A 26,826-nucleotide genomic window follows, 5' to 3' on the forward strand; every position below is an offset into this window, starting at 1 on the left:
GGAGTATTTAAAATTTGAGAAATAATTTTCTATACTTGAAAGTCACTTATGTAGGTAGGCCTCAGATTATAATAAATAACGTTTATTGTGCTATACTATGTGGTAGGTATGAGGTTAAGTATTTTTACCTATATTATATCACTTATTTCTTACAAATGGAGCAAGGGAGCAAGCAAACAAGGGAGGTATTATTATCCCTATTTTATGTATTTATGTATTTATTTTTGATTTCTATTCTTTTGGTTTTTTTGTTGTTTTTTATTGATGTATCATAGTTGTACATGTTTTGGGGTACATGTGATATTTTTGATACATGTATACAATGTGTAATGATCAAATCAGAGTAATTTGGATATTCATCACCTCGAATATTTATCTTTTCTTTGTGTTGGGAACATTATAATTTTTCTCTGCTAGCTATTTTAGAATATATAATAAATTATTGTTCCCTATGATTTCTCCATTGTATAATTGAATACTAAAATTTATTATGTCTATCTACATATCCCCAGTTCAATAACTATAATTTCTCTGCTGTGCAATCAAATACTAGAACTTCTTCCTTCGAACGCTATATCCCTAATTCAATAACTAGTAAACTGAAGCTCAGCATGGTCTAGGAACTTTGTTACATTAACACAGCAAGTGAGTGTTGCAGCCTGGATCCAAAAATCAGGCCTGGTCGACCTCAAAGTCCAGATTATTGACCTTTCTACCATAATGTATGGAGGTAAGTTTGTGAATTTATTCAAAAATCAGGCCTGGTCAACCTCAAAGTCCAAATTATTAACCTTTCTACCATAATATATGGAGCTAAGTTTGTGAATTTTCATAGTTTTAGGATTTGAAGATAAAAGAGGTGAAAATTTGGAAATGGTTTCTGGACTTTTGAATTTTGGCAAACAGCTATGTGATAAGTCCACCCTGCAGACCCACAACTTTTGGAAATAACTCTACTGTGATCTTCAGTAGCAGAAGCTGCTCCTGGGGTGGTAGAACACAAGGAAAACACACACTAGTAAAAATTTCATGTGGCTTCTTTGTTCTGTACATGTGTTTCTCTTGATTAGTATATGGTAGTATCCTCAAATCATAGTAACGAGTATACTTTTTCCAGTGAATTGCATGTGTATATTATTGTATAGTATAAAAGGCAATATTTCCATTTATTATCATCTGTGCTTTTCAAAGAAACTCTGTGAGTCCAAAAGGGCAGATAATAGAAGCAACTGCCCTTTCTCTCCCCCTTTAAATGCAACCCAATGTCAAAGTCCGTAGCATCCCCAGATGAGTGTGTTAAAGGTGAGAAATTCCCAAAGTCAAACTCAGTAGCATCCTTGAATGAGTGTATTAAAGGTGATAAATTTATTTTATGTATGTTCTTTTTAACCTGTGTTCTCAGAAACAGAGACTACTGTATTTCATCCTACCTTAGTCTTGCTTAGCAGTTTCTCTTCTCCTTTGAGGCTCTTTTATTTTTAAATCATTGTTCATATCTTCTAATCTCCCCTTTCTCCCATTCTTCCCATATTTTTAATCTTGTTTTAACTTTATCTCTGTTCTACTTTTTCTGTATTTCAAATTGATCCATAGACTTTAGAAAAATGAGTTGAATGCTGGCTGTAGGCTGTCTTATCCCCAGCAAGAAACATGTTGTAAAGTCTTAGTACCTTCCCACTGGAAGATCATTAGTCATGGCTACTATGTTTTTAAATGAGAATTGTTTTAATTATGCATTTTAAAATTATTGGAAAACATGAGGGAGAGGAATGAACCATAAGTAATAAAGATTATTGACTTGAAGTTAAGACCTTACTATGATCTGGGATTATTAGTCTTACTTGTCAATCAAGAACTATCCACTTTCTATTCATTTGTGGGTATCTAATATGGTTATATACACAGAAGTAATGATAATTGATATGAAAAGGTCTCCTCCTGTTATATCAATTTAGGTATTTTTCACACATTGTATACCTCATTCTTCTCCTATTCAATTTTCACTAATTCCTAAAGGGTCAGGTCAATGTCCTTGGCATAACCTCCTCCACCTGTTCTTAATGGCAATCGTCTCTTCTGCCCTCCAATATCTATAACACTTTTTTCTTTAAAACTCTTTGAATGTTTATCTTAATACTCATTTGATATATATTGTATACCACATATGATTGTTTGTTATATGTACAATACATGTTTTTTCAACTTTTTTTGGTTCTTTCTATTTACAGGAATTAGAGAAAGAACAAATCAGTGTGAAGGAGAATTGTCAGTAAAATTACAAGAAAAGATTGAGATCATAATTGACCTTTGAGGATAATAAAATTTAAAGACCAAAAGGATGGACTTCACAGAAACATGACCTTAGGTTGTTTTTGCAGTTGTAGTAACTGGTTATATGACCAACAAAATATGAAGAATGGGTACAAATTCTGATAGTAATGATCAGTCACTTTGCAAATATAAAGCTACTATTTACTACTGTATTGTACAGGTTCAATAATCTTTGTGTACACATTTTATGTATTTATTGTCAGGCTGCTATATAATTCAGTATTTATAATAGATACTATGTATAGCAATCTATGGTTAGTTTTGGTCTTAACCAGGAAAAATCACTCTTTTGAGTTTTGCTGTTTTTACTAGATTATTTTTACTGGATGATTGCTCATATTATTTGATTATTATTGCAATTTGTCTTTCTGGAATAGGAAGCAAGAGGCCTGAATTCTGGTTCCTATTCTATCAATTGTGTGAATTCTGGAAACTCAGTTTACTTTTCTGGGCCTCATGGTTTTCATCTGAATGATGACCAACTTGGATAAAATGGTCTTTATATAATTTCGTAGGCATTTCCCTTCCCAAGGGCTTGAGTCTTTTTCAACAATTATAGAGTTTTCCGGTCCCTCTTCCCAGTGCCTCAGCACCTTGCTATTCATGTTCATCTGATCAGTTGTTTGCATGCTGACTTACATTACCCTGATGGGCAGTACCTGTGGCTGTTTCTGCTCCCTCACCCAGTCCATAGGCTTCTGGTTGTAAAAAGTGTGCATCTTGAGACTGTGGACAGTTAGCTCCAGAGGTGACAGTATAATCACTTCACGTAGAAGAGGATAGAGAGAGACTCATGCCAGTGGTGGTGAGCAAGTATTAGAGATATGATGTGTGCCTCTGTGAGTTTTGGGGTCTAAGATAAATTATGGCACTAGGAAGATGGTCCTTTGTGTCAGAAGAACTGGAGTTGTTGGTGCAAAAAAGTATGATGTCAGCATAGCAGTTTTATTTGTACCTCAGCAACTTCTAAAATAATCTCTATTAAGTGTTTTCAGGAACTACTTTCTACTATAGGAAAATCATTGAGGTGAGTATCCATCTGGACACAGAGAAATATAACACTGTTTTCTGCTCACCCTCCACTTCACATATAAATACAACATGTGTTAAAGGACTAAATTTCTAGTGTCACAGTTTGTACTTTATAGTTTGAAGTCAATAAGAAAGCTCATATACCTTCCTAAAAGTCACTTGTTAATGTTTGATATTAATCTAATTTTATCATAAATTAAAAGTATAAAACTACAAATTTCTTAAAGATAAAATATCCAAATGGATTCAGTCAAATTAAGCATGATAATATCAAATATCAGAATAGGTTACCATGCAGGAGGTACTGAGTACTTAAAAGGATGGGGAATGCAATGAACATAAAAGCTGGTACCAAGGGGAGGAGGAGACAGCGATGAATTAAAACATTATCTTAACTAATCCAAGTGCTGGTCTTCAATACTTTCATGTGTATAGACAAAGAGAAACTGCAGAGATTTCTCACAACCTCTGTGGCCATTTTATGCATCTTAGCAAAAACTCTGGTGAAATCCCTCCAAAACATATTTATTAGGCATGGAAAAAGCCTTACATGACAGGTGGCATAGGCTCCTTATGAAATCACTGCAGGATGGGAAGCCATTTAGGGCTTCGTAATTGTGAAAGATTGTATAGAAACTGAGGCACTTAAATAGCAGTGAGCATGAGAAAATGTGGTAGATAATGGTGGTGATTCTATTTCTTGTGAAAGTCCACTTACTCTGTTCTGCTACAGTTGTGGGCTTTCCGATTTCACATACCCCAGTCTCTATATTCTGTCTCAATCCACAGCCTACCTCAACTAAGTCCGTCCCAGGCACCTCTTACTGCAGGTGATAATCCATCTGTTAATCATGTTTTCCTCTTATGTCTACTTTCTGTCAGAGAATTGTGGCTACAAACTGGGAAGGGAAGGAAATTATAAGAATATGTATAAGTACAAATGGAATATGTTGGAAATGAGGAATAGTTAATATCGCAGGTCATTTAAACACCTGATGAATTTCATGGATAGTCAGGAATCTTGTTCTTACCTAATCTGTTAATTTTAGATCAGACATTACACTGAAAGTATTGATGATGGGTTTAAATCAGGTTGCAGCTCACATGTTGTGATAATATTATGTTGATTTTTTGTTTTTAATATGTGAGGAACAGAATAACTGTATACTATTTATTCATAGTGACATTGCAATATTGATTTTAGTACATATTATTATCTTCATAATCACAATTTCCTCCCCATTTTCTTAGTTCTCATAATTTTAGCCACAGCCCAGTTGGCTGGACCAATGGATGGAGAGAATCACTCAGTGGTATCTGAGTTTTTGTTTCTGGGACTCACTCATTCATGGGAGATCCAGCTCCTCCTCCTAGTGTTTTCCTCTGTGCTCTATGTGGCAAGCATTACTGGAAACATCCTCATTGTGTTTTCTGTGACCACTGACCCTCACTTACACTCCCCCATGTACTTTCTACTGGCCAGTCTCTCCTTCATTGACTTAGGAGCCTGCTCTGTCACTTCTCCCAAGATGATTTATGACCTGTTCAGAAAGCGCAAAGTCATCTCCTTTGGAGGCTGCATCGCTCAAATCTTCTTCATCCACGTCATTGGTGGTGTGGAGATGGTGCTGCTCATAGCCATGGCCTTTGACAGTTATGTGGCCCTATTAAGCCCCTCCACTATCTGACCATTATGAGCCCAAGAATGTGCCTTTCATTTCTGGCTGTTGCCTGGACCCTTGGTGTCAGTCACTCCCTGTTCCAACTGGCATTTCTTGTTAATTTACCCTTCTGTGGCCCTAATGTGTTGGACAGCTTCTACTGTGACCTTCCTCAGCTTCTCAGACTAGCCTGTACCGACACCTACAGATTGCAGTTCATGGTCACTGTTAACAGTGGGTTTATCTGTGTGGGTACTTTCTTCATACTTCTAATCTCCTACATCTTCATCCTGTTTACTGTTTGGAAACATTCCTCAGGTGGTTCATCCAAGGCCCTTTCCACTCTTTCAGCTCACAGCACAGCGGTCCTTTTGTTCTTTGGTCCACCCATGTTTGTGTATACATGGCCACACCCTAATTCACAGATGGACAAGTTTCTGGCTATTTTTGATGCAGTTCTCACTCCTTTTCTGAATCCAGTTGTCTATACATTCAGGAATAAGGAGATGAAGGCAGCAATAAAGAGAGTATGCAAACAGCTAGTGATTTACAAGAAGATCTCATAAATGATACAATAAGCCCTTCTCGTTAAACATGATATGGCTTTATGTTTCTTTCTTTGATATTTTAGATTCAGGAACTATGAGACATTATGTATTGATTTGAATGTTATTAGACCTGTAACATAATTCTTATCTGATGAATATATGATGAATATATTCCTTGTTCAAAATGAGTCATAAATTCAACACATCTCTACATCTATATTATGCCCATTTAATTTCTTTCAGCAATGTTTTGTAGTTTTTGGTGAACAGGTACTTTATGCATATGTACTTTATATTTATCTCTAAGTTTTATATTTCTGATGCCCTTTTAAGTGACATTTTTATTTCAATTTACAATTGTTTATTCTTAGCTTATGGGCACATAATAGATCTTTGTTTGACATTATATCCTGTAAACTTGCAAAACTTATTAGTTCCATCAGTTTTTTATAGGTTATGTAGGATTTTCTTTATAGATGATTATGTTGTCAGTGAATAAAGACATTTGCTTTTAAAATTCTAGTATGAATTCACTATATTCATTTTGTTGAATGCTGAGTAGAATTAGTTAGAGCAGACATCTTTGACTTGTTCCTGTTATGAAATATATTAAATATTTCATCATTAAGTATAATGTTAGCTATAATTTTTTTCATAGGTACTCTTTAACAGGCTGAGAAAGTTTTCTGTATTCACAGTTTGCTGAAAATTTCTTTTATCTTTAGTCAGGAATGGATCTTGGATTTTGTAAAGCTTTTTCATTTCAGAATCAGGGTAATGCTGGCCCTTTAGAATGAGTTGGGAAGCATCTGCTCTTCTTAAATTTTCTGCCATAATTTTGTAGAATTCATATAATTTTTTTCTTTAAAAAGGGAAGTACTTAAGTATTTTTTCCCATAAGTTACCCATAAGTAAATCTAAAGGAAAGTGGGAAACTTTGATACGCATTGGTTGCCCCCTGGTGGAGATTTCTGGGTTCTTGATTATTTTAACACTGGAGATAGAATCTGGTGGAATGATGTCAATGCTACCGTGATTAAGAGGTGTGTAGGAAATGCTTCATGTAAGAGAGAAAATAGTCTTTATGAGAATCTGCCTGGTGGAAAGGAGTTGGTGCAACAATAACAATATAAATTAGTGAAAAATTTTAAATTGACAAATAATAATTGTATCTATGGGGTACAATGTAATGTTTTGATACATGTTTAAATTGTGGAAAGATTAGGTCTATCTTATTGACATACATATCTTTTTTGTGGTGAAAACATTTAAAATCTACTCTGTTAGTCATTTTGAAACATACAATACCTTGTTATTTATTACAGTCACCATTCCGTGCAATAGTTCACTGAAACTTTGTCTAACTGAAACTTTGAACCCTTTTATCAACATCTACCTTTTCCATGTCTACCCCCAACTCCTAGCCTCTGATAATCACCATTCCATTCTCTACTTCTATGAATTCAACTTTTTCAGATTCCACATATCAGTGAGATCATGTGATATTTGTCTTTTCGTGCCTGGCTTATTTCACTTAGCGTGATATCTTCTGGGTTAATTCATGTTGTCACATATATCAGGTTTTCCTTCCTATTAAGGCTGAGTAGTATTCCATTGTATATATTCACTACATTTTCTTCATCCATTTGTCAGTTGATAGACACCTGTGTTGATTTCATATTTGGGTATTGTGAATAATGCTGCAATGAACATGAGCCTGGAGATATCTCTTCAGCATATTGACTTAAATTCCTTTGGATATATACAAGGAAGTGGGATTGCTGGATCATATAGTAATTCTAGTTTTAGTTTTTTGAGTAACTTTTATCTATTTTTCATAATAGTATTAATTTACATTTCCACCAACAGTGTACGAGGGTTCCCTTTTCTCTGTATCCTCTTCAACACTTGTTATCTTTTATCATTTTGATAGTAGCCATTCTAACAGGTATGAAGTGGCATCTCACTGTCATTTTAATTTGCATTTCCCTGATAATTAGGATGACAAACTTTTTTTATGTTAGTCATTTGTATTTTTTTTGAGAAATGTCTATTTAGGACCTTGCCCATTTTTTGACTTGGTTATTTGTTTTCTTGATATTGAGTTGAGTCCCTTATATATTTGGAGATTAGCCTTTCATCAGATGTATGCTCTGCAAATATTTTCTCACAACTTGTAGGTTGTCTCTTCACCATATTGTTTCCTTTGCTGTGCAGAAGCTTTTTAGTTTGATGCAATCCCATATATTTTTGCTTTTGTTGCCTGTGCTTTGGGGGTTATATCCAAGAAATCTTTGACCAAACCAACATTGTGGAACTTTTCCCCTATGTTTTCATCTAGTAGTTTTACAGTTTTATGTTTAAACCTTTAATCCATTTTGAATTGATTTTTGTGTATGGTGTGAGATAAGGATACACACCATACACATTCATGTTCTTCTGCATGTGGATATCTAGTTTTCTTAACACCATTTATTGAAACAAATGTCTATTCTTCATTACGTTTTCTGGGCACCTTTGTCAAAAATTTATTGGTCATAAATGCATGAGTTTATTTCTGGGTTCCTTATTCTGTTCCCCTGGTCAATGTGTCTGTTTTTGTGCAAGTGTCATGTTGTTTTGATTACTATGGTTTTGTGATACGTATTTGTTTTGGGGGGGGATCGATTTTTATTTGGGTTTCTCACAGTGGTTAGAGAACAACCACAGCACAGGAAATGCATCGCCAAGATTGCCCAGAAAACTGACCAGCTGCATCTTATTGCTTAAAAATACACATATTCACAATAACTGACAAATGGTGATGTGCCTCACACAGGAATGTGTTCACATTTGCAATGCTGTGTACAGACTTCACTTCGTTCAACATAGATTTTGGTTTAATGGAATTCAAATGCGGATGCTTGTTCACAGCCTTGGATTTGTCTGTTTTTGGAGAGATACAACCTCCATGAGTATATCTGCATGAAAACCACAGACAATGAAGGTATTTCTTCATTGATTTATTTATTCTTTTGACTGTAGCAACAAACCCTGGATGACACCCTTCCTTTTAATTCACCTGGAAACCAGACTCAATCAAATCTCCCTGGTCCCCTCACTATTCCTTCAAATTCCCTATTTCTATCTCTTCCTGAGGAGGGTAACCTCCTGTAGCAGGGGTCAGACTGTGACTTGGGAATCAAGCCTAGGTCTGCAGGTTGCCTTTTCATCTTCTTGTAAAATATTGTAGGACACTGCAGTGAATCCAACAGTTAACACTCAGAGCAGTTCCCTGCTCTAACTCAGGAAAGAGACTTCAGAGGGTCAGGATTCATCCATTTGATCAGTTAACTGAGAAGGATTCATTTTGGTAAAACTTGTTCAGCTTTGAGACACTTCAGTGAGTTGTTTGAGATTTTTTTTTAAATTATATTTTAAGTTCTGGGGTACAAGTGCAGAACATGCAGGATTGTTACATAGGTATACACGTGCCATGGTGGTTTGCTGCACCCATCAACCCATCATCTACATTAGGTATTTAACCCAATGCTAACCTTCCCCCAGCCCCTACCCCCAGACAGGCCCCGGTGTGTTGTGTTCCCCTCCCTCTGTCCATGTGTTCTCATTGTTCAACTCCCATTTATGAGTGAGAACATCGGGTGTTTGGTTTTCTGTTCTTGGATTAGTTTGCTGAGAATGATGGTTTCCAGCTTCATCCATGTCCCTGAAAAGGATATGAACTCATCCTTCTTTATGGCTGCATAGTATTCCATGGTGTATATGTGCCACATTTTCTTTATGCAGTCTATCATTGAATGGGCATTTTGGTTGGTTCCAAGTCTTTGCTATTGTGAACAGTGCCACAATAAACATATGTATGCATGTGTCTTTATGGTAGAATGATTTATAATCCTTTGGATATATACCCAGTAATGCGATTGCTGGGTCAAATCATATTTCTAGTTCTAGAACCTTGAGGAATCACCACACTGTCTTCCACAATGGTTGAACTAATTTACACTCCCACCAACAGTGTAAAAGCATTCTTATTTCTCCACATCCTTTCCAGCATCTGTTGTTTCCTGACTTTTTAATGATCGCCATTCTATCTGGCGTGAGATGGTATCTCATTGTGGTATTGATATGCATTTCTCTGATGACCAGTGATGATGAGCTTTTTTTCATATGTTTGTTGGCTGCATAAATGTCTTCTTTAGAGAAATGTCAGTTCATATCCTTTACCCACTGATGGGTTTGTTTGTTATTTTCTTGTAAATTGTTTAAGTTCTTTGTAGATTCTGGATATTAGCCCTTTGTCAGATGGATAGATTGCAAAAATTTTCACCCATTCTGTAGGTTGCCTGTTCACTCTGATGATAGTTTCTTTTGCTGTGCAGGAGCTCTTTAGTTTAATTAGATCCCATTTGTCTATTTTGGTTTTTGTTGCAATTGCTTTTGGTGTTTTAGTCATGAAGTTTTTGTCCATGCCTATGTACTGAATGATATTGCCTAGGTTTTCTTCTAGGGTTTTTTATGGTTTTAGATCTTATGTTTAAGTCTTTAATACATCGTGAGCTAATTTTTGTGTAAGGTGTAAGGAAGGGATCCAGGTTCAGTTTTCTGCATATGGCTAGCCAGTTTTCCCAACACCATTTATTAAAAAGGGAATCGTTTCCCCATTGCTTGTTTTTGTCAGGTTTGTCAAAGATCAGATAGTTGTAGATGTGTGGCGTTATTTCTGAGGCCTCTGTTCTGTTCCATTGGTCTACATATCTGTTTTGGTACCAGTACCATGCTGTTTTGGTTACTGAAGGCTTGTAGTATAGTTTGAAGTCAGACAGCGTGATGCCTCCAGATTTGTTCTACTTGCTTAGGACTGTCCTAGCTCTGCGGGCTCATTTTTGGTTCCATATGAAATTTAAAGTAGTTTTTTCCAATTCTGTGAACAAAGTCAGTGGTAGCTTGATGGGGATAGCATTGAGTCTATAAAAACTTTGGGCAGTATGTCCATTTTCATGATATTGATTCTTCCTATCCATGAGCATGGAATGTTTTTCCATTTGTTTGTGTCCTCTCTTATTTCCTTGAGCAGTGGTTTGTAGTTCTCCTTGAAGAGGTCCTTCACATCCCTTGTAAGTTGGATTCCTAGGTATTTTATTCTCATAGTAGCAATTGTGAATGGGAGAGTTCACTCATGATTTAGCTCTCTGTTTGTCTGTTTTTTGCATATAGGAATGCTTGATTTTTGCACATTGATTTTGTATCCTGAGACTTTTCTGAAGTTGCTTATTAGCTTAAGAAGATTTTGGGCTGAGACCATGGGGTTTTCTAAATACACAATCATGTCATCTGCAAACAGAGACAATTTCTTTCTCTTGCCTGATTGCCCTGGCCAGAACTTCCAATACTACGTTGAATAGGAGTGGTGAGATAGGGCATCCTTGTCTTGTGCTGGTTTTCAAAGGGAATGCTTCCAGTTTTTCACCATTCAGTATTGGCTGTGGGTTTTTCATAAATAGGTATTATTATTTTGAGATATGTTCCATCAGTACCTAGTTTATTGAGAGTTTTTAGCATGAAGGGCTGCTGAATTTTGTCGAAGGCCTTTTCTGCATCTATTGAGAGAAGCATGTGGTTTTTGCCATTGGTTCTATTTATATGATGAATTATGTTTATTGATTTGCATATGTTGAACTAGCCTTGTAACCCAGGGATGAAGCCGACTTGATTGTGGTGGACAAGCTTTTGATGTGCTGCTGGATTTGGTTTGCCAGTATTTTATTGAGGATTTTTGCATCGATGTTCATCAGGGATATTGGCTTGAAATTTTCTTTTTTTTGTGTGTGTCTCTGCCAAATTTTGGTACCAGAATTATTCTGGCCTCATAAAATGAGTTAGGGAGGATTCTCTCTTTTTCTGTTGTTTGAAATAGTTTCAGAAGGAATGGTACCAACTCCTCTTTGTACCTCTGGTAGAATTCGGCTGTGAATCCATCTGGTCCTGGATTGTTTTTTGGTTGGTAGGCTATTAATTACTGCCACAATTTCAGACCTTGTTATTGGTCTATTCAGGGATTCAACTTCTTCCTGGTTTAGTCTTGGGAGGGCGTATGTGTCCAGGAATTTGTCCATTTCTTCTAGATTTTCTAGTTTGTGTAGAGGTGTTTATAGTATTCTCTGATAGTAGTTTGTATTTCTGTGGGATCAGTGGTGGTATCTCCTTTATCATTTTTTATTGCATCTGTTTGATTCTTCTCTGTTTTCTTCTTTATGAGTCTGGCTAGTGGTCTATCTATTTTATTGATATTTTCAAAAAACCAGCTCCTGGATTCATTGATTTTTTTTTGAAGGTTTTTTTGTGTCTCTATCTCCTTCAGTTCTGCTCTGATCTTAGTTATTTATTGTCCTCTGCTAGCTTTTTGTATGCTCCTGCCTCTTGAGTTCTTTTAATTGAGATGTTAGGGTGTCAATTTTAGATCTTTCCTGCTTTCTCTTGTGGGCATTTAGTGCTATAAATTTCCCTCTACACACTGCTATAATTGTGTACCAGAGATTCTGGTATGTTATGTCTTTGTTCTCATTGGTTTCAAATAACTTATTTATTTCTGCCTTAATATCTTTATTTACCCAGTAGTTGTTCAGGAGCAGGCTGTTCAGTTTACATGTAGTTGTGTGGGTTTGAGTCAGTTTCTTAATCCTGAGTTCTAATTTAATTGCACTGCGATCTGAGAGACTGTTATGATTCCCATTTTTTTTTTGCATTTGCTGAGGAGTGTTTTACTTCCAAATATGTGGTCAATTTTAGAATAAGTGCAATGTGGTGCTGAGAAGAATGTATATTCTGTTGATTTGGGGTGGAGAGTTCTGTAGCTGTCTATTGGATCCACTTGGTCCAGAGCTGAGTTCAAGTCCTGGATATCCTTGTTAACTTTCTGTTTCGTTGATCTGTCTAGTATTGACAGTGGGGTGTTAAAGTCTCCCACTATTATTGTGTGAGGGTCTAAGTCTCTTTTTAAGTCTCTAAGAGCTTACTTTATGCATCTGGGTGCTCCTGTGTTGGGTGCATATATATTTAGGATAATTAGCTCTTCTTGTTGCATTGATCCTTTTACCATTATGCAATGCCCTTATTTGTCTCTTTTGATCTTTGTTGGTTTAAAGTCTGTTTTATCAGAGACTAGGATTGCAACCCCTGCTTTTTTTTTGCCTTCCATTTGCTTGGTAAGTATTCCTCCATCCCTTTATTTTGAGCCTATTTGTGTCTTTGCACGTGAGATGGGTCTCCTGAATACAGAACACTGATGGGTCTTGACTCTTTAGCCAATTTGCCAGTCTGTGTTTTTTAATTGGAGCATTTAGCCCATTTACATTTAAGGTTGATATTGTTATGTGTGAATTTGATCCTGTCATTACGATGCTAGCTGGTTATTTTGCTGTTAGTTAATGCAGTTTCTTCATAGTGTCAATGGTCTTTACAATTTGGTATGTTTTTGCAGTGGCTGATACCAGTTGTTCCTTTCCATGTTTAGTGCTTCCTTCAGGAGCTCCTTTAAGGCAGGCCTGGTGGTGACAAAATCTCTCAGCATTTGCTTGTCTGTAAAGGATTTTATTTCTCCTTCACTTATGAAGCTTAGTTTGGCTGGATATGAAATCCTGGGTGGAAAATTCTTTTCTTTAAGAATGTTGAATATTGGCCCCCATTCTCTTCTGGCTTGTAGAGTTTCTGCTGATAGATCTGCTGTTAGTCTGATGGGCTTCCCTTTGTGGGTAACCTGACCTTTCTCTCTGGCTGCCCTTAACATTTTTTCCTTCATTTCAACCTTGCTCAATCTGATGACTATGTGTCTTGGGGTTGCTTTTCTTGAGGAGTGTCTTTGTGATGTTCTCCATATTTCTGAATTTGAATATTGGCCTGCCTTGCTAGGTTAGGGAAGTTCTCCTGGATAATATCCCAAAGAGTGTTTTCTAACTTGGTTCCATTCTCCCCATCACTTTCAGGTACAGCAATCAAACGTAGATTTGGTCGTTTCACATAGTCCCATATTTCTTGGAGGCTTTGTTCATTTCTTTTCATTCTTTTTTCTCTAATCTTGTCTTCTTGATTTATTTCATTAAGTTGATATTCAGTCTCTGATATCTTTCTTCCGCTTGACCGAATCAGTGCTTGATCCTTGTGCATGCTGCATGAAGTTCTCATGGCGTGTTTTTCAGCTCCATCAGGTCATTTATGTTCTTCTCTAAACTGGTTATTCTAGTTAGCAAGTGGTCTAACCTTTTTTCCAGGTCCTTAGCTTCCTTACATTGGGTTAGGACATGCTCCTTTAGCTTGGAGGAGTTTGTTATTACCTACCTTCTGAAACCTACTTCTCTCAATTCGTCAAACTCATTCTCTGTCCAGTTTTCTTTTGTTCCCTTGCTGGTGAGGAGTTGTGATCCTTTGGAGGAGAAGAGGCGTTCTGGTTTTTGGAATTTTCAGCCTTTTTGCTCTGGTTTCTCTCCATCTTCATGGATTTATCTACCTGTGGTTTCTGATGTTGGTGACCTTCTGATGGGGTCACTGAGTGGCTGTCCTTTTTGTTGATGTTGATGCTATTCCTTTTTGTTTGTTAGTTTTCCTTCTAACAGTCAGGCCCCTCTGCTGCAGGTCTGTTGGGGTTTGCCCTAGGTCTACTCTAGACCCTGTTTGCCTGGGTATCACCAGCAGAGGCTGGAGAACAGCCAAGATTGCTGCCTGTTTCTTCCTCTGGAAGTTTTGTCCCAGAGGGGCACCCACCAGATGCCAGCCAGAGCTCTCCTGTATGAGGTGCCTGTTGGCACCTACTGGGAGGTGTCTCCCAGTCAGGATACACGGGGGTCAGGGACCCACTTGAGGAGGCAGTCTGACCCTTATCAGAGCTCGAATACTGTGCTGGGAGATCTGCTGCTCTCTTCAGAGCCATCAGGCTTTTCAAAGATGCTTTAAGTCTGCTGAAGCTGTGCCCACAGCCGCCCTTTCCCCTAGGTGCTCTGTTCCAGGGAGATGGGGGTTTTATCTATAGGTCTCTGACTGGGGCTGCTGCCCTTTTTTCAGAGATGCCTTGCCCAGAGAGGAGAAATCTAGAGAGGCAGTCTGGCTGCTGTGGCCTTGCTGAGTTGTGGTGGGCTCCACCCAGTTCAAACTTTCTGGTGGCTTTGTTTACACAGTGGGGGTAAAACTGCCTACTCAAGCCTTGGCAATGTGGAAGCCCCTCCCCCCACCAAGCTCTAGTGTCCTAGGTCAACCTCAGACTGCTGTGCAAGAATTTCAAGCCAGTGGATCTTAGCTTGCTGGGCTCTGTAGGGGTGGGACCCGCCGAGCCAGACCACTTGGCTCCCTGGCTTCAGCCCCCTTTCCAGGAGAGAGAATGGTTCTGTCTTGTTGGCATTCCAGTTGCCACTGTGGCATAAAAAAAAAAAACCTCCTGCAGCTAGCTCGGTGTCTGCCCAAACAGCTGCCTAGTTTTGTGCTTGAAACCTAGGGCCTTGGTGGCAGAGGCACTGGAGGGAATCTCCTGGTCTGTGGATTGTGAAGACCATGAGAAAAGCATAGTTTCTGGGTGGAGTGCACCGTTCCTCATGGTACAGTCCCTCGGGGCTTCCCTTGGCTAGGGGAGGGAATTCCCCCAACCCCTTGCACTTCTTGGGTGAGGCAACGCCCCATTCTGCTTTGGCTCACCCTCCGTGGGCTGCACCCACTGTCCAACCAGTCCCAGTGAGATGAACCAGGTACCTCAGTTGGAAATGCAGAAATCACCTGCATTCTGCATTGATCTCACTGGGAGCTGCAGACTGGAGCTGTTCCTATTTGGCCATGTTGCCAGCAAATTCTGAGATTTTTTTCAAAAGTGCAAAGAAAGACATCTGAGGGGTGCTGACATATTCGGGTCACCTCAAGCCACATGCCAGCTTGCTTGCCCCTGTTGGATTCAGCAGAGGGAGATAGGCCTTGCCATACCTGTGGTGTCTGCCAAAGCTTCCTCCTGGCAATTCTTGGGAGTGCTGATACCTGGGCCACAGTTAGTCCAAGTTTATCACTGAAGATCCTATCAAAGTTTTGTCTGAAATTCCACTTTTGCCTTTTGTCCTAAGTGGTTGTGGACATCTCCAGGGGCTGATACCAAGGACTAGGAACAGCTGAGAGAGGCAGAAAGGTTCAGAGTACATCTCTATTTACAGGGAACAGAACACCGGCCTCCGAGAGTCCATGGAGCAATGGGAAAATTGCAGTGATTACTCATCACTGTGAAACTTCTACTTTGAATACAGTATCTTCTGGCAAGCATAGGGGACTGCAGTCGACAATGCTGCTGAATATACCTGAGTACATAGTAAGACATTTGTTTGGTAAACAGTCAATGCATACAATAAATTACCTTGAGAGGGCCATCTGTGCTCCAGATGTGAGAGTTCATGTGAATAGAATGGCTGCAATTCAAAGAATCTTCACAGGAAAACAGGGCTCAGAGCTCATCCACAATGGACAGACAGGGAGGGAAACAGGTGGAGGTTAGTTCACCACTTCCTCATAAGAAGGTAATAAATAGTTTGGTGAAATAAAATGGTAGCACTGAGTAATTGCGGGCTTCTGGATAGGCAGTCAGGTTGATTTCATGTTGCTACTGCTGGACTTGAGGGCTGGCTTGGCTGTGGTGGCAGACACAGCAGCAGCTCAGGATGATGGTGATGGTCCATGCCAGCCAGAACCACCAATGTTCATAGTAGTAGTTACAACACTGAGACTGCCCATAGCAGTGTCCTGTTGTGTCACAGATGTAGCTTTGATTGTTGGTACACACACAGGCTTCCTTATCCTGTGGGGGTTCAGCCCTGGCTGACACAGGGCTGGGCAGTGCCTAGAGGTGCAAGAGCTCCATGCCACCCAGGAGTCTTCCCTCCATACTCCTCCTGCTCCTCCGACCCAGCGTGGGCACCTCCCTCCACCCTTGCTGCACTTCTCCTCTACCCTCTTCTTCCTTCTTTTGTTCTTTTCCTGTAATATGTTTTGAAGTCAGATTGTGAGGCCTTCAGCTTTGTTCTTATTGCTCAAGAGTCCTTTAGTTATTCAGGATCCTTTGTGGTTCCATATAAATTTTCAAATTGTTTTTTCTATTTCTGTGAAGAATGACATTGAAATTTTGATAAATATTGCATTAAACCTATAAATCGCTTTGGGCAGTAAGGACATTTTAAGAATATTAATTCTTCCTACCCATGAACATAAAATATCTTTCCATGTATTTGTGTCATCTACAATTTTTCATCAATGTTTTATAGTGTTCAGAATACAGATCTTTCACCTCCTTGGTTAAATGTACTCCTAAGTACTATCCTAAATGTGCTCCTAAACAAAAAAAATACGTTTTTTTTGATGTTACTGTGAATGAGATTGATTTCTTTATTTTTGTCATATAGTTTGTTGTGAGTGTAAAGAAACTACTGAGTTTTGTACATTGATTTTGAATTCTGAAATTTTATTGAATTCATTTATCATTTCTAATAGCTTTTTGGTGGAGTTTTTAGGGTTTCCTATATATAATATGTCATCAAACAGAGACAATTTTACTTCTTCCTTTTCAATTTGAATATTTTATTTCTTTATTTGGCTTAATTGCTCTGGCTAGGACTTCCAGAAATAAGTTGAATAGAAGTAGTGAGAATAAATATCCTTGTCTTGTTTTTGATCTTAGCAGAAAAGATTTTACTTTTTCATTGTTGGGTATGATGTGAGCTGTGAGCTTGTTATATATGTCCTGTTTTGTGTTAAGGTACATGCCTTCTATGCCCAATTTGTTGAGAGGTTTAGTCATGAGAGGATTTTGAATTTAGTCAAATGCTTTTTCTGCATATATAGAGATAGCTATTTTTTTATCCTTCATTCTGTTAATGTGGTTTATCACATTTGATTTGTGTTTGCTGAAACATCTGGAGGATAAATCCACTTTATCATGGTAAATGTTCTCCTAATATGTTGTTAAATTCTGTTTGCTAGTACTTTTTTTTGAGGACTTTTGTATCTGTGTTCATCAGGGATATTGGTTGGCCCATACTTTTCTTATAGTGTCCTTGTTTGCCTTTTTATTTTTATTTTTATTTATTTATTTTTTAAATTATACTTTAAGTTTTAGGATACATGTGCACAACGTACAGGTTAGTTACATATGTATACATGTGCCATGCTGGTGTGCTGCACCCATTAACTCATCATTTAACATTAGGTATATCTCCTAATGCTATCCCTCCCCCCTCCCCCCACCCCACAACAGGCCCCAGTGCTAATATCCGGAATCTACAATGAACCCAAACAAATTTACAAGAAAAAAACAAACAACCCCATCAAAAAGTGGGCAAAGGATATGAACAGACACTTCTCAAAAGAAGACATTTATGCAGCCAAAAAACACATGAAAAAATGCTCACTATCACTGGCCATCAGAGAAATGCAAATCAAAACCACAATGAGATACCATCTTACACCAGTTAGAATGGCCATCATTAAAAAGTCAGGAAACAACAGGTGCTGGAGAGGATGTGGAGAAATAGGAACATTTTTACACTGTTGGTGGGACTGTAAACTAGTTCAACCATTGTGGAAGACAGTGTGGTGATTCCGCAGGGATCTAGAACTAGAAATACCATTTGACCCAGCCATCCCATTACTGGGTATATACCCAAAGGACTATAAATCATGCTGCTATAAAGACACATGCACACGTATGTTTACTGTGGCACTATTCACAATAGCAAAGACTTGGAACCAATCCAAATGTCCAACAATGATAGACTGGATTAAGAAAACGTGGCACATATACACCATGGAATACTATGCAGCCATAAAAAATGATGAGTTCATGTCCTTTGTAGGGACATGGATGAAGCTGGAAACCATCATTCTCAGCAAACAATCACAAGGACAAAAAACCAAACACCGCATGTTCTCACTCATAGGTGGGAATTGGACAATGAGAACACATGGACACAGGAAGGGGAACATCACTTTAAAAAAAAACAATAATGCTGATCTTTTAAAATGAGTTTGGAAATACTCTTTCTCCTTCAAGTTTTTGGAAGAATTTCAGAAAGATTGTATTATTATTTTTTAAAATGTTAGAATTCAGCAATGAAGTTTTCTGGTCCTGGGATGTTCTTTGATGGGAGATGTTTTATTATTGATATACTCTCCATACTCAGTATTGTTCTGTTCAGATTTTATCTTTCTTCTTGACTTTCTCTAGGTAAGTTGCATTTTTCTAGAAATTTATCTGCTTTTTCTAGGTTATCCAATTTGTTGGCTTGTAATTGTTTATAGTGGCCCCTTATGATCCTCTGTATTTCTGTGGTATTAGTTGCAATATTTCCTCTTTCATTTCTGATTTTATTGCTTTGAGTATTCTCTCATTTTTCTAGTCTAGCTAATGGTTTGTCAGTTTTATCTTTTCAAAGAACAAATTCTTAGTTTCATTGATCTGTTCTATTTTCTTTCACAGTCTTTTTTGTATTTGAAGGACTTGTATTTGTTAACTGGCTCAAGCCTGGACATTTGTTGAGGTGCTATGAGTCTCTATTGCTCTCATTTCTCTTCACTAGACATAGAAATTTTCTGATTACACGAATCAAATAAGACTAATAAGCTTCCCAGGGATGAATCCCACTTAAGCATGGTGAATTTTTTTGCTGTGTTTTTTTAAAAATAATATTTGCTAATATTTGGCTGAAGGTTTTTCCATCCAAGTTCATCAGGAGTATTGGTCTGCAATTTATTTTTATTATAGTGTCCTTCTCTGGTTTTGGTATCAGGGTAATGCTGGTTTTGAAAAATGAATTTGGAAGTATTCCTCTTCTTCATTTTTTTTGGAAGAGTTTGGGAAGGATTGGTGTTAATCATCTAAGTGTTTGTTGGAATTCAGCCACCAAGCCATTCAATCCTGGGTCTTTCTTTTATGAGAGACCTTTCATTGGTGATTTAATTTCCTTATTCATGATTTCTTCTAAATTTTGAATTCTTCATGATTCAGTTTTGGTACGAGTTTATCAATTTCTTCTAGGTTATCTAATTTGCTGGTGAATAATTGTTTATAGTAGTATGTTATGATTTTTTAACTTCTGTGGTATCAGTTGTAATGTCTCTTCTTTCACTTATGAGTTTGTTTTCTTTTTTCTTAGTCTATGTAAGAATTTGTTAATTTTGTTTATCTTTTCAAAAAACAATTCTTATTTTTATTGAAATTTTCAGTTTCTATTATATTATTTCTGCTCTGATCTTTGTTATTTGTTTCCTTCTGCTATCTTTGGGCTTGTATTGTTCTCTAATTTTCTCGCTCCTTTAGGCATAATATTAGGTTGCTTATTTGAGATCTTTTTTTTCTTTTTTGATGTAGGCATTTATTGCTATAAATGTCCCTCTTATAACTGCTTTTGTTGCATCCCATATGTTTTAGTATGTTATGTTTCCATTTTCATGCTACCTGATTTTAGAATATATTTCAAAGCATGGGGTATAGTGCTTTTAAAAAGAGGCTATATATAGGTATATATAAAAACAATACACACATTATATATAAACTATGACATGCTTGTAAAGAAAAGAGAACATAAAGTTTCTGAGGAAATAATTAGAAGAACAAGAGGATGCAAAGGGGTCTGTCAAAGATTCAGTGAAATGAGGGTTTTTGGATATTCACAGCTAATAGATTAATGCATTAGGAATGAGCAAAAAAATTGATGGTAGTCAAACAGAGGGAGGGAGGTAGATTTTGAATGATTCAAAGCAGGAGTGTTTTGAAGGTAAACAGAATAACTAAAAAGAAAGACTCAGATGAAAAGCCTAGATTTAAAGCATTTGAATCAAGAGGTGGTAATCTAGGAATTAGGTTGATTTCTTTTTTTTTAAATTTGTGTAGCTTTTTATTTTATTTTTTATTATACTTTAAGTTTTAGGGTACATGTGCACAAAGTGCAGGTTTGTTACATATGTATACATGTGCCATGTTGGTGTGCTGCACCCAGAAGACTGGTTAATTTCAATAACCTAAAAATCCACAAGGTGGGAGTGTTTCACTGAAGCCAGTTGTTAGAGAAACGTTAGAACCAACTTCCTTTTTTTCTCTGTCCCTTCTTCTCTGCTTTCTTCTTTTCTCCTCCTCCTCCTCCCTTTACTCTCCTTCTTCTCTCTCTGTTTTTCTAATCATGAAAACAAATGAAAAAAACTATGAGCAAGAGCACAGAAAAAAGACTAGCAAAGACTGCAGTTATTGAAAGTATCAGATACAGAAAATAAAATAAAATAACTATATTTAGTATGTTTAAAGTAAAACAAAAAATTAAAAATATCATAATGGAACAGGAAACTCTAGAGAATGGCCAAGAAGATTAAAAGAAAACAAATAGAATGTCCATAGAGAATAACATAATTGAAATTTAAACCCAAATGAATGGTTTTAACAGAATATTAGTATGTTAGAAGCAGTTGAAGAGTGAACTAGTAAACTGTAATATAGGTCAGAAGGGGCTATCCAAAATGAACACAGGAATAAAGACATGGAAAATAAGAAACATGTAGTTAGGAGACATGGAAGACAGAGGGGGAAATGCTAAAAAGTTTTAAAGAGTGTTTCAGAAGGAGAGAAAGGAGATCATGAATCAGTGTATATATTTTTTAAATTTTATTTTATGTTCTGGGATACACGTGCAGAAAGTGTAGGTTTGATACATAGGTAAATGTGTGCCATGGTGGTTTGCTGCACCCATCAACCCATCACCTAGGTATGAGGCCCTGCATGCATTAGCTATTTGTCCTGATGGTCTCCTACCCCCTGTCCCCCTGAGAGGCCCTGGTGTGTGTTGTTCCCCTCCATGTATCCACGTGTTTGTCCTGATGGTCTCCTACCCCCTGTCCCGCTGAGAGGCCCTGGTGTGTGTTGTTCCCCTCCATGTACCCACGTGTTTGTCCTGATGGTCTCCTACCCCCTGTCCCCCTGAGAGGCCCTGGTGTGTGTTGTTCCCCTCCATGTATCCACGTGTTTGTCTTGATGGTCTCCTACCCCCTGTCCCGCTGAGAGGCCCTGGTGTGTGTTGTTCCCCTCCATGTATCCACGTGTTTGTCCTGATGGTCTCCTACCCCCTGTCCCCCTGAGAGGCCCTGGTGTGTGTTGTTCCCCTCCATGTATCCACGTGTTTGTCCTGATGGTCTCCTACCCCCTGTCCCCCTGAGAGGCCCTGGTGTGTGTTGTTCCCCTCCATGTACCCACGTGTTTGTCCTGATGGTCTCCTACCCCCCGTCCCCCTGAGAGGTCCTGGTGTGTGTTGTTCCCCTCCATGTACCCACGTGTTTGTCCTGATGGTCTCCTACCCCCTGTCCCCCTGAGAGGCCCTGGTGTGTGTTGTTCCCCTCCATGTACCCACGTGTTTGTCCTGATGGTCTCCTACCCCCTGTCCCCCTGAGAGGTCCTGGTGTGTGTTGTTCCCCTCCATGTACCCACGTGTTTGTCCTGATGGTCTCCTACCCCCTGTCCCCCTGAGAGGCCCTGGTGTGTGTTGTTCCCCTCCATGTACCCACGTGTTTGTCCTGATGGTCTCCTACCCCCTGTCCCCCTGAGAGGTCCTGGTGTGTGTTGTTCCCCTCCATGTACCCACGTGTTTGTCCTGATGGTCTCCTACCCCTGTCCCCCTGAGAGGCCCTGGTGTGTGTTGTTCCCCTCCATGTACCCACGTGTTTGTCTTGATGGTCTCCTACCCCCTGTCCCCCTGAGAGGCCCTGGTGTGTGTGTTCCCCTCCATGTACCCACGTGTTTGTCTTGATGGTCTCCTACCCCCTGTCCCCCTGAGAGGCCCTGGTGTGTGTTGTTCCCCTCCATGTATCCACGTGTTTGTCTTGATGGTCTCCTACCCCCTGTCCCCCTGAGAGGCCCTGGTGTGTGTTGTTCCCCTCCATGTATCCACGTGTTTGTCCTGATGGTCTCCTACCCCCTGTCCCCCTGAGAGGTCCTGGTGTGTGTTGTTCCCCTCCATGCATCCACGTGTTTGTCCTGATGGTCTCCTACCCCCTGTCCCCCTGAGAGGCCCTGGTGTGTGTTGTTCCCCTCCATGTACCCACGTGTTTGTCCTGATGGTCTCCTACCCCCTGTCCCCCTGAGAGGCCCTGGTGTGTGTTGTTCCCCTCCATGTACCCACGTGTTTGTCCTGATGGTCTCCTACCCCCCGTCCCGCTGAGAGGCCCTGGTGTGTGTTGTTCCCCTCCATGTACCCACGTGTTTGTCCTGATGGTCTCCTACCCCCTGTCCCGCTGAGAGGCCCTGGTGTGTGTTGTTCCCCTCCATGTGATGGTCTCCTACCCCCTGTCCCCCTGAGAGGCCCTGGTGTGTGTTGTTCCCCTCCATGTATCCACGTGTTTGTCCTGATGGTCTCCTACCCCCTGTCCCCCTGAGAGGCCCTGGTGTGTGTTGTTCCCCTCCATGTACCCACGTGTTTGTCCTGATGGTCTCCTACCCCCTGTCCCCCTGAGAGGCCCTGGTGTGTGTTGTTCCCCTCCATGTACCCACGTGTTTGTCCTGATGGTCTCCTACCCCCTGTCCCCCTGAGAGGCCCTGGTGTGTGTTGTTACCCTCCATGTACCCACGTGTTTGTCCTGATGGTCTCCTACCCCCTGTCCCCCTGAGAGGCCCTGGTGTGTGTTGTTCCCCTCCATGTACCCACGTGTTTGTCCTGATGGTCTCCTACCCCCTGTCCCGCTGAGAGGCCCTGGTGTGTGTTGTTCCCCTCCATGCATCCACGTGTTTGTCCTGATGGTCTCCTACCCCCTGTCCCCCTGAGAGGCCCTGGTGTGTGTTGTTCCCCTCCATGTACCCACGTGTTTGTCCTGATGGTCTCCTACCCCCTGTCCCCCTGAGAGGCCCTGGTGTGTGTTGTTCCCCTCCATGTACCCACGTGTTTGTCCTCATGGTCTCCTACCCCCTGTCCCCCTGAGAGGCCCTGGTGTGTGTTGTTCCCCTCCATGTATCCACATGTTTGTCCTGATGGTCTCCTACCCCCTGTCCCGCTGAGAGGCCCTGGTGTGTGTTGTTCCCCTCCATGTATCCACGTGTTTGTCTTGATGGTCTCCTACCCCCTGTCCCCCTGAGAGGCCCTGGTGTGTGTTGTTCCCCTCCATGTACCCACATGTTTGTCCTGATGGTCTCCTACCCCCTGTCCCGCTGAGACGCCCTGGTGTGTGTTGTTCCCCTCCATGTACCCACGTGTTTGTCTTGATGGTCTCCTACCCCCTGTCCCCCTGAGAGGCCCTGGTGTGTGTTGTTCCCCTCCATGTACCCACGTGTTTGTCTTGATGGTCTCCTACCCCCTGTCCCCCTGAGAGGCCCTGGTGTGTGTTGTTCCCCTCCATGTACCCACGTGTTTGTCTTGATGGTCTCCTACCCCCTGTCCCCCTGAGAGGCCCTGGTGTGTGTTGTTCCCCTCCATGTATCCACGTGTTTGTCTTGATGGTCTCCTACCCCCTGTCCCCCTGAGAGGCCCTGGTGTGTGTTGTTCCCCTCCATGTACCCACGTGTTTGTCCTGATGGTCTCCTACCCCCTGTCCCGCTGAGAGGCCCTGGTGTGTGTTGTTCCCCTCCATGTATCCACGTGTTTGTCCTGATGGTCTCCTACCCCCTGTCCCCCTGAGAGGCCCTGGTGTGTGTCGTTCCCCTCCATGTATCCACGTGTTTGTCCTGATGGTCTCCTACCCCCTGTCCCCCTGAGAGGCCCTGGTGTGTGTTGTTCCCCTCCATGTATCCACGTGTTTGTCCTGATGGTCTCCTACCCCCTGTCCCCCTGAGAGGCCCTGGTGTGTGTTGTTCCCCTCCATGTATCCACGTGTTTGTCCTGATGGTCTCCTACCCCCTGTCCCCCTGAGAGGCCCTGGTGTGTGTTGTTCCCCTCCATGTATCCACGTGTTTGTCCTGATGGTCTCCTACCCCCTGTCCCCCTGAGAGGCCCTGGTGTGTGTTGTTCCCCTCCATGTATCCACGTGTTTGTCCTGATGGTCTCCTACCCCCTGTCCCGCTGAGAGGCCCTGGTGTGTGTTGTTCCCCTCCATGTATCCACGTGTTTGTCCTGATGGTCTCCTACCCCCTGTCCCGCTGAGAGGCCCTGGTGTGTGTTGTTCCCCTCCATGTACCCACGTGTTTGTCCTGATGGTCTCCTACCCCCTGTCCCGCTGAGAGGCCCTGGTGTGTGTTGTTCCCCTCCATGTACCCACGTGTTTGTCCTGATGGTCTCCTACCCCCTGTCCCCCTGAGAGGCCCTGGTGTGTGTTGTTCCCCTCCATGTACCCACGTGTTTGTCCTGATGGTCTCCTACCCCTGTCCCCCTGAGAGGCCCTGGTGTGTGTTGTTCCCCTCCATGTACTCACGTGTTTGTCCTGATGGTCTCCTACCCCCTGTCCCCCTGAGAGGCCCTGGTGTGTGTTGTTCCCCTCCATGTACCCACGTGTTTGTCCTGATGGTCTCCTACCCCCTGTCCCGCTGAGACGCCCTGGTGTGTGTTGTTCCCCTCCATGTATCCACGTGTTTGTCCTGATGGTCTCCTACCCCCTGTCCCCCTGAGAGGCCCTGGTGTGTGTTGTTCCCCTCCATGTACCCACGTGTTTGTCCTGATGGTCTCCTACCCCCTGTCCCGCTGAGAGGCCCTGGTGTGTGTTGTTCCCCTCCATGTATCCACGTGTTTGTCCTGATGGTCTCCTACCCCCTGTCCCCCTGAGAGGCCCTGGTGTGTGTTGTTCCCCTCCATGTATCCACGTGTTTGTCCTGATGGTCTCCTACCCCCTGTCCCCCTGAGAGGTCCTGGTGTGTGTTGTTCCCCTCCATGTATCCACGTGTTTGTCCTGATGGTCTCCTACCCCCTGTCCCCATGAGAGGCACTGGTGTGTGTTGTTCCCCTCCATGTATCCACGTGTTTGTCCTGATGGTCTCCTACCCCCTGTCCCCCTGAGAGGCCCTGGTGTGTGTTGTTCCCCTCCATGTACCCACGTGTTTGTCCTGATGGTCTCCTACCCCTGTCCCCCTGAGAGGCCCTGGTGTGTGTTGTTCCCCTCCATGTATCCACGTGTTTGTCCTGATGGTCTCCTACCCCCTGTCCCCCTGAGAGGCCCTGGTGTGTGTTGTTCCCCTCCATGTATCCACGTGTTTGTCCTGATGGTCTCCTACCCCCTGTCCCCCTGAGAGGCCCTGGTGTGTGTTGTTCCCCTCCATGTATCCACGTGTTTGTCCTGATGGTCTCCTACCCCCTGTCCCCCTGAGAGGCCCTGGTGTGTGTTGTTCCCCTCCATGTACCCACGTGTTTGTCCTGATGGTCTCCTACCCCTGTCCCCCTGAGAGGCCCTGGTGTGTGTTGTTCCCCTCCATGTACCCACGTGTTTGTCCTGATGGTCTCCTACCCCCTGTCCCCCTGAGAGGTCCTGGTGTGTGTTGTTCCCCTCCATGTATCCACGTGTTTGTCCTGATGGTCTCCTACCCCTGTCCCCCTGAGAGGCCCTGGTGTGTGTTGTTCCCCTCCATGTATCCACGTGTTTGTCCTGATGGTCTCCTACCCCCCGTCCCCCTGAGAGGCCCTGGTGTGTGTTGTTCCCCTCCATATACCCACGTGTTTGTCCTGATGGTCTCCTACCCCCTGTCCCCCTGAGAGGCCCTGGTGTGTGTTGTTCCCCTCCATGTACCCACGTGTTTGTCCTGATGGTCTCCTACCCCCTGTCCCCCTGAGAGGTCCTGGTGTGTGTTGTTCCCCTCCATGTACCCACGTGTTTGTCCTGATGGTCTCCTACCCCCTGTCCCCCTGAGAGGTCCTGGTGTGTGTTGTTCCCCTCCATGTACCCACGTGTTTGTCCTGATGGTCTCCTACCCCTGTCCCCCTGAGAGGCCCTGGTGTGTGTTGTTCCCCTCCATGTATCCACGTGTTTGTCCTGATGGTCTCCTACCCCCTGTCCCCCTGAGAGGCCCTGGTGTGTGTTGTTCCCCTCCATGTACCCACGTGTTTGTCCTGATGGTCTCCTACCCCCTGTCCCCCTGAGAGGTCCTGGTGTGTGTTGTTCCCCTCCATGTACCCACGTGTTTGTCCTGATGGTCTCCTACCCCCTGTCCCCCTGAGAGGCCCTGGTGTGTGTTGTTCCCCTCCATGTACCCACGTGTTTGTCCTGATGGTCTCCTACCCCCTGTCCCCCTGAGAGGTCCTGGTGTGTGTTGTTCCCCTCCATGTACCCACGTGTTTGTCCTGATGGTCTCCTACCCCCTG

General features: G+C 41.7%; 1 long non-coding RNA gene and 2 pseudogenes across 1 annotated transcript in view; 2 read left to right on the plus strand and 1 right to left on the minus strand.

Moving 5' to 3' along the window:
- LOC101929692 (uncharacterized) overlaps window positions 1-26,826 on the plus strand; it is a 115,831-nt gene that overhangs the window by 22,288 nt on the left and 66,717 nt on the right. The gene's annotated exons all lie outside the window — the stretch shown is intronic.
- On the plus strand, window positions 4,653-5,590 carry OR4F7P (olfactory receptor family 4 subfamily F member 7 pseudogene; annotated as a pseudogene).
- Window positions 16,059-16,565, minus strand: WBP1LP8 (WBP1L pseudogene 8; annotated as a pseudogene).

This window comes from Homo sapiens, chromosome 6, assembly GCF_000001405.40.
Source record: "Homo sapiens chromosome 6, GRCh38.p14 Primary Assembly".
NCBI classification, from domain to species: Eukaryota; Metazoa; Chordata; class Mammalia; order Primates; family Hominidae; genus Homo; species Homo sapiens.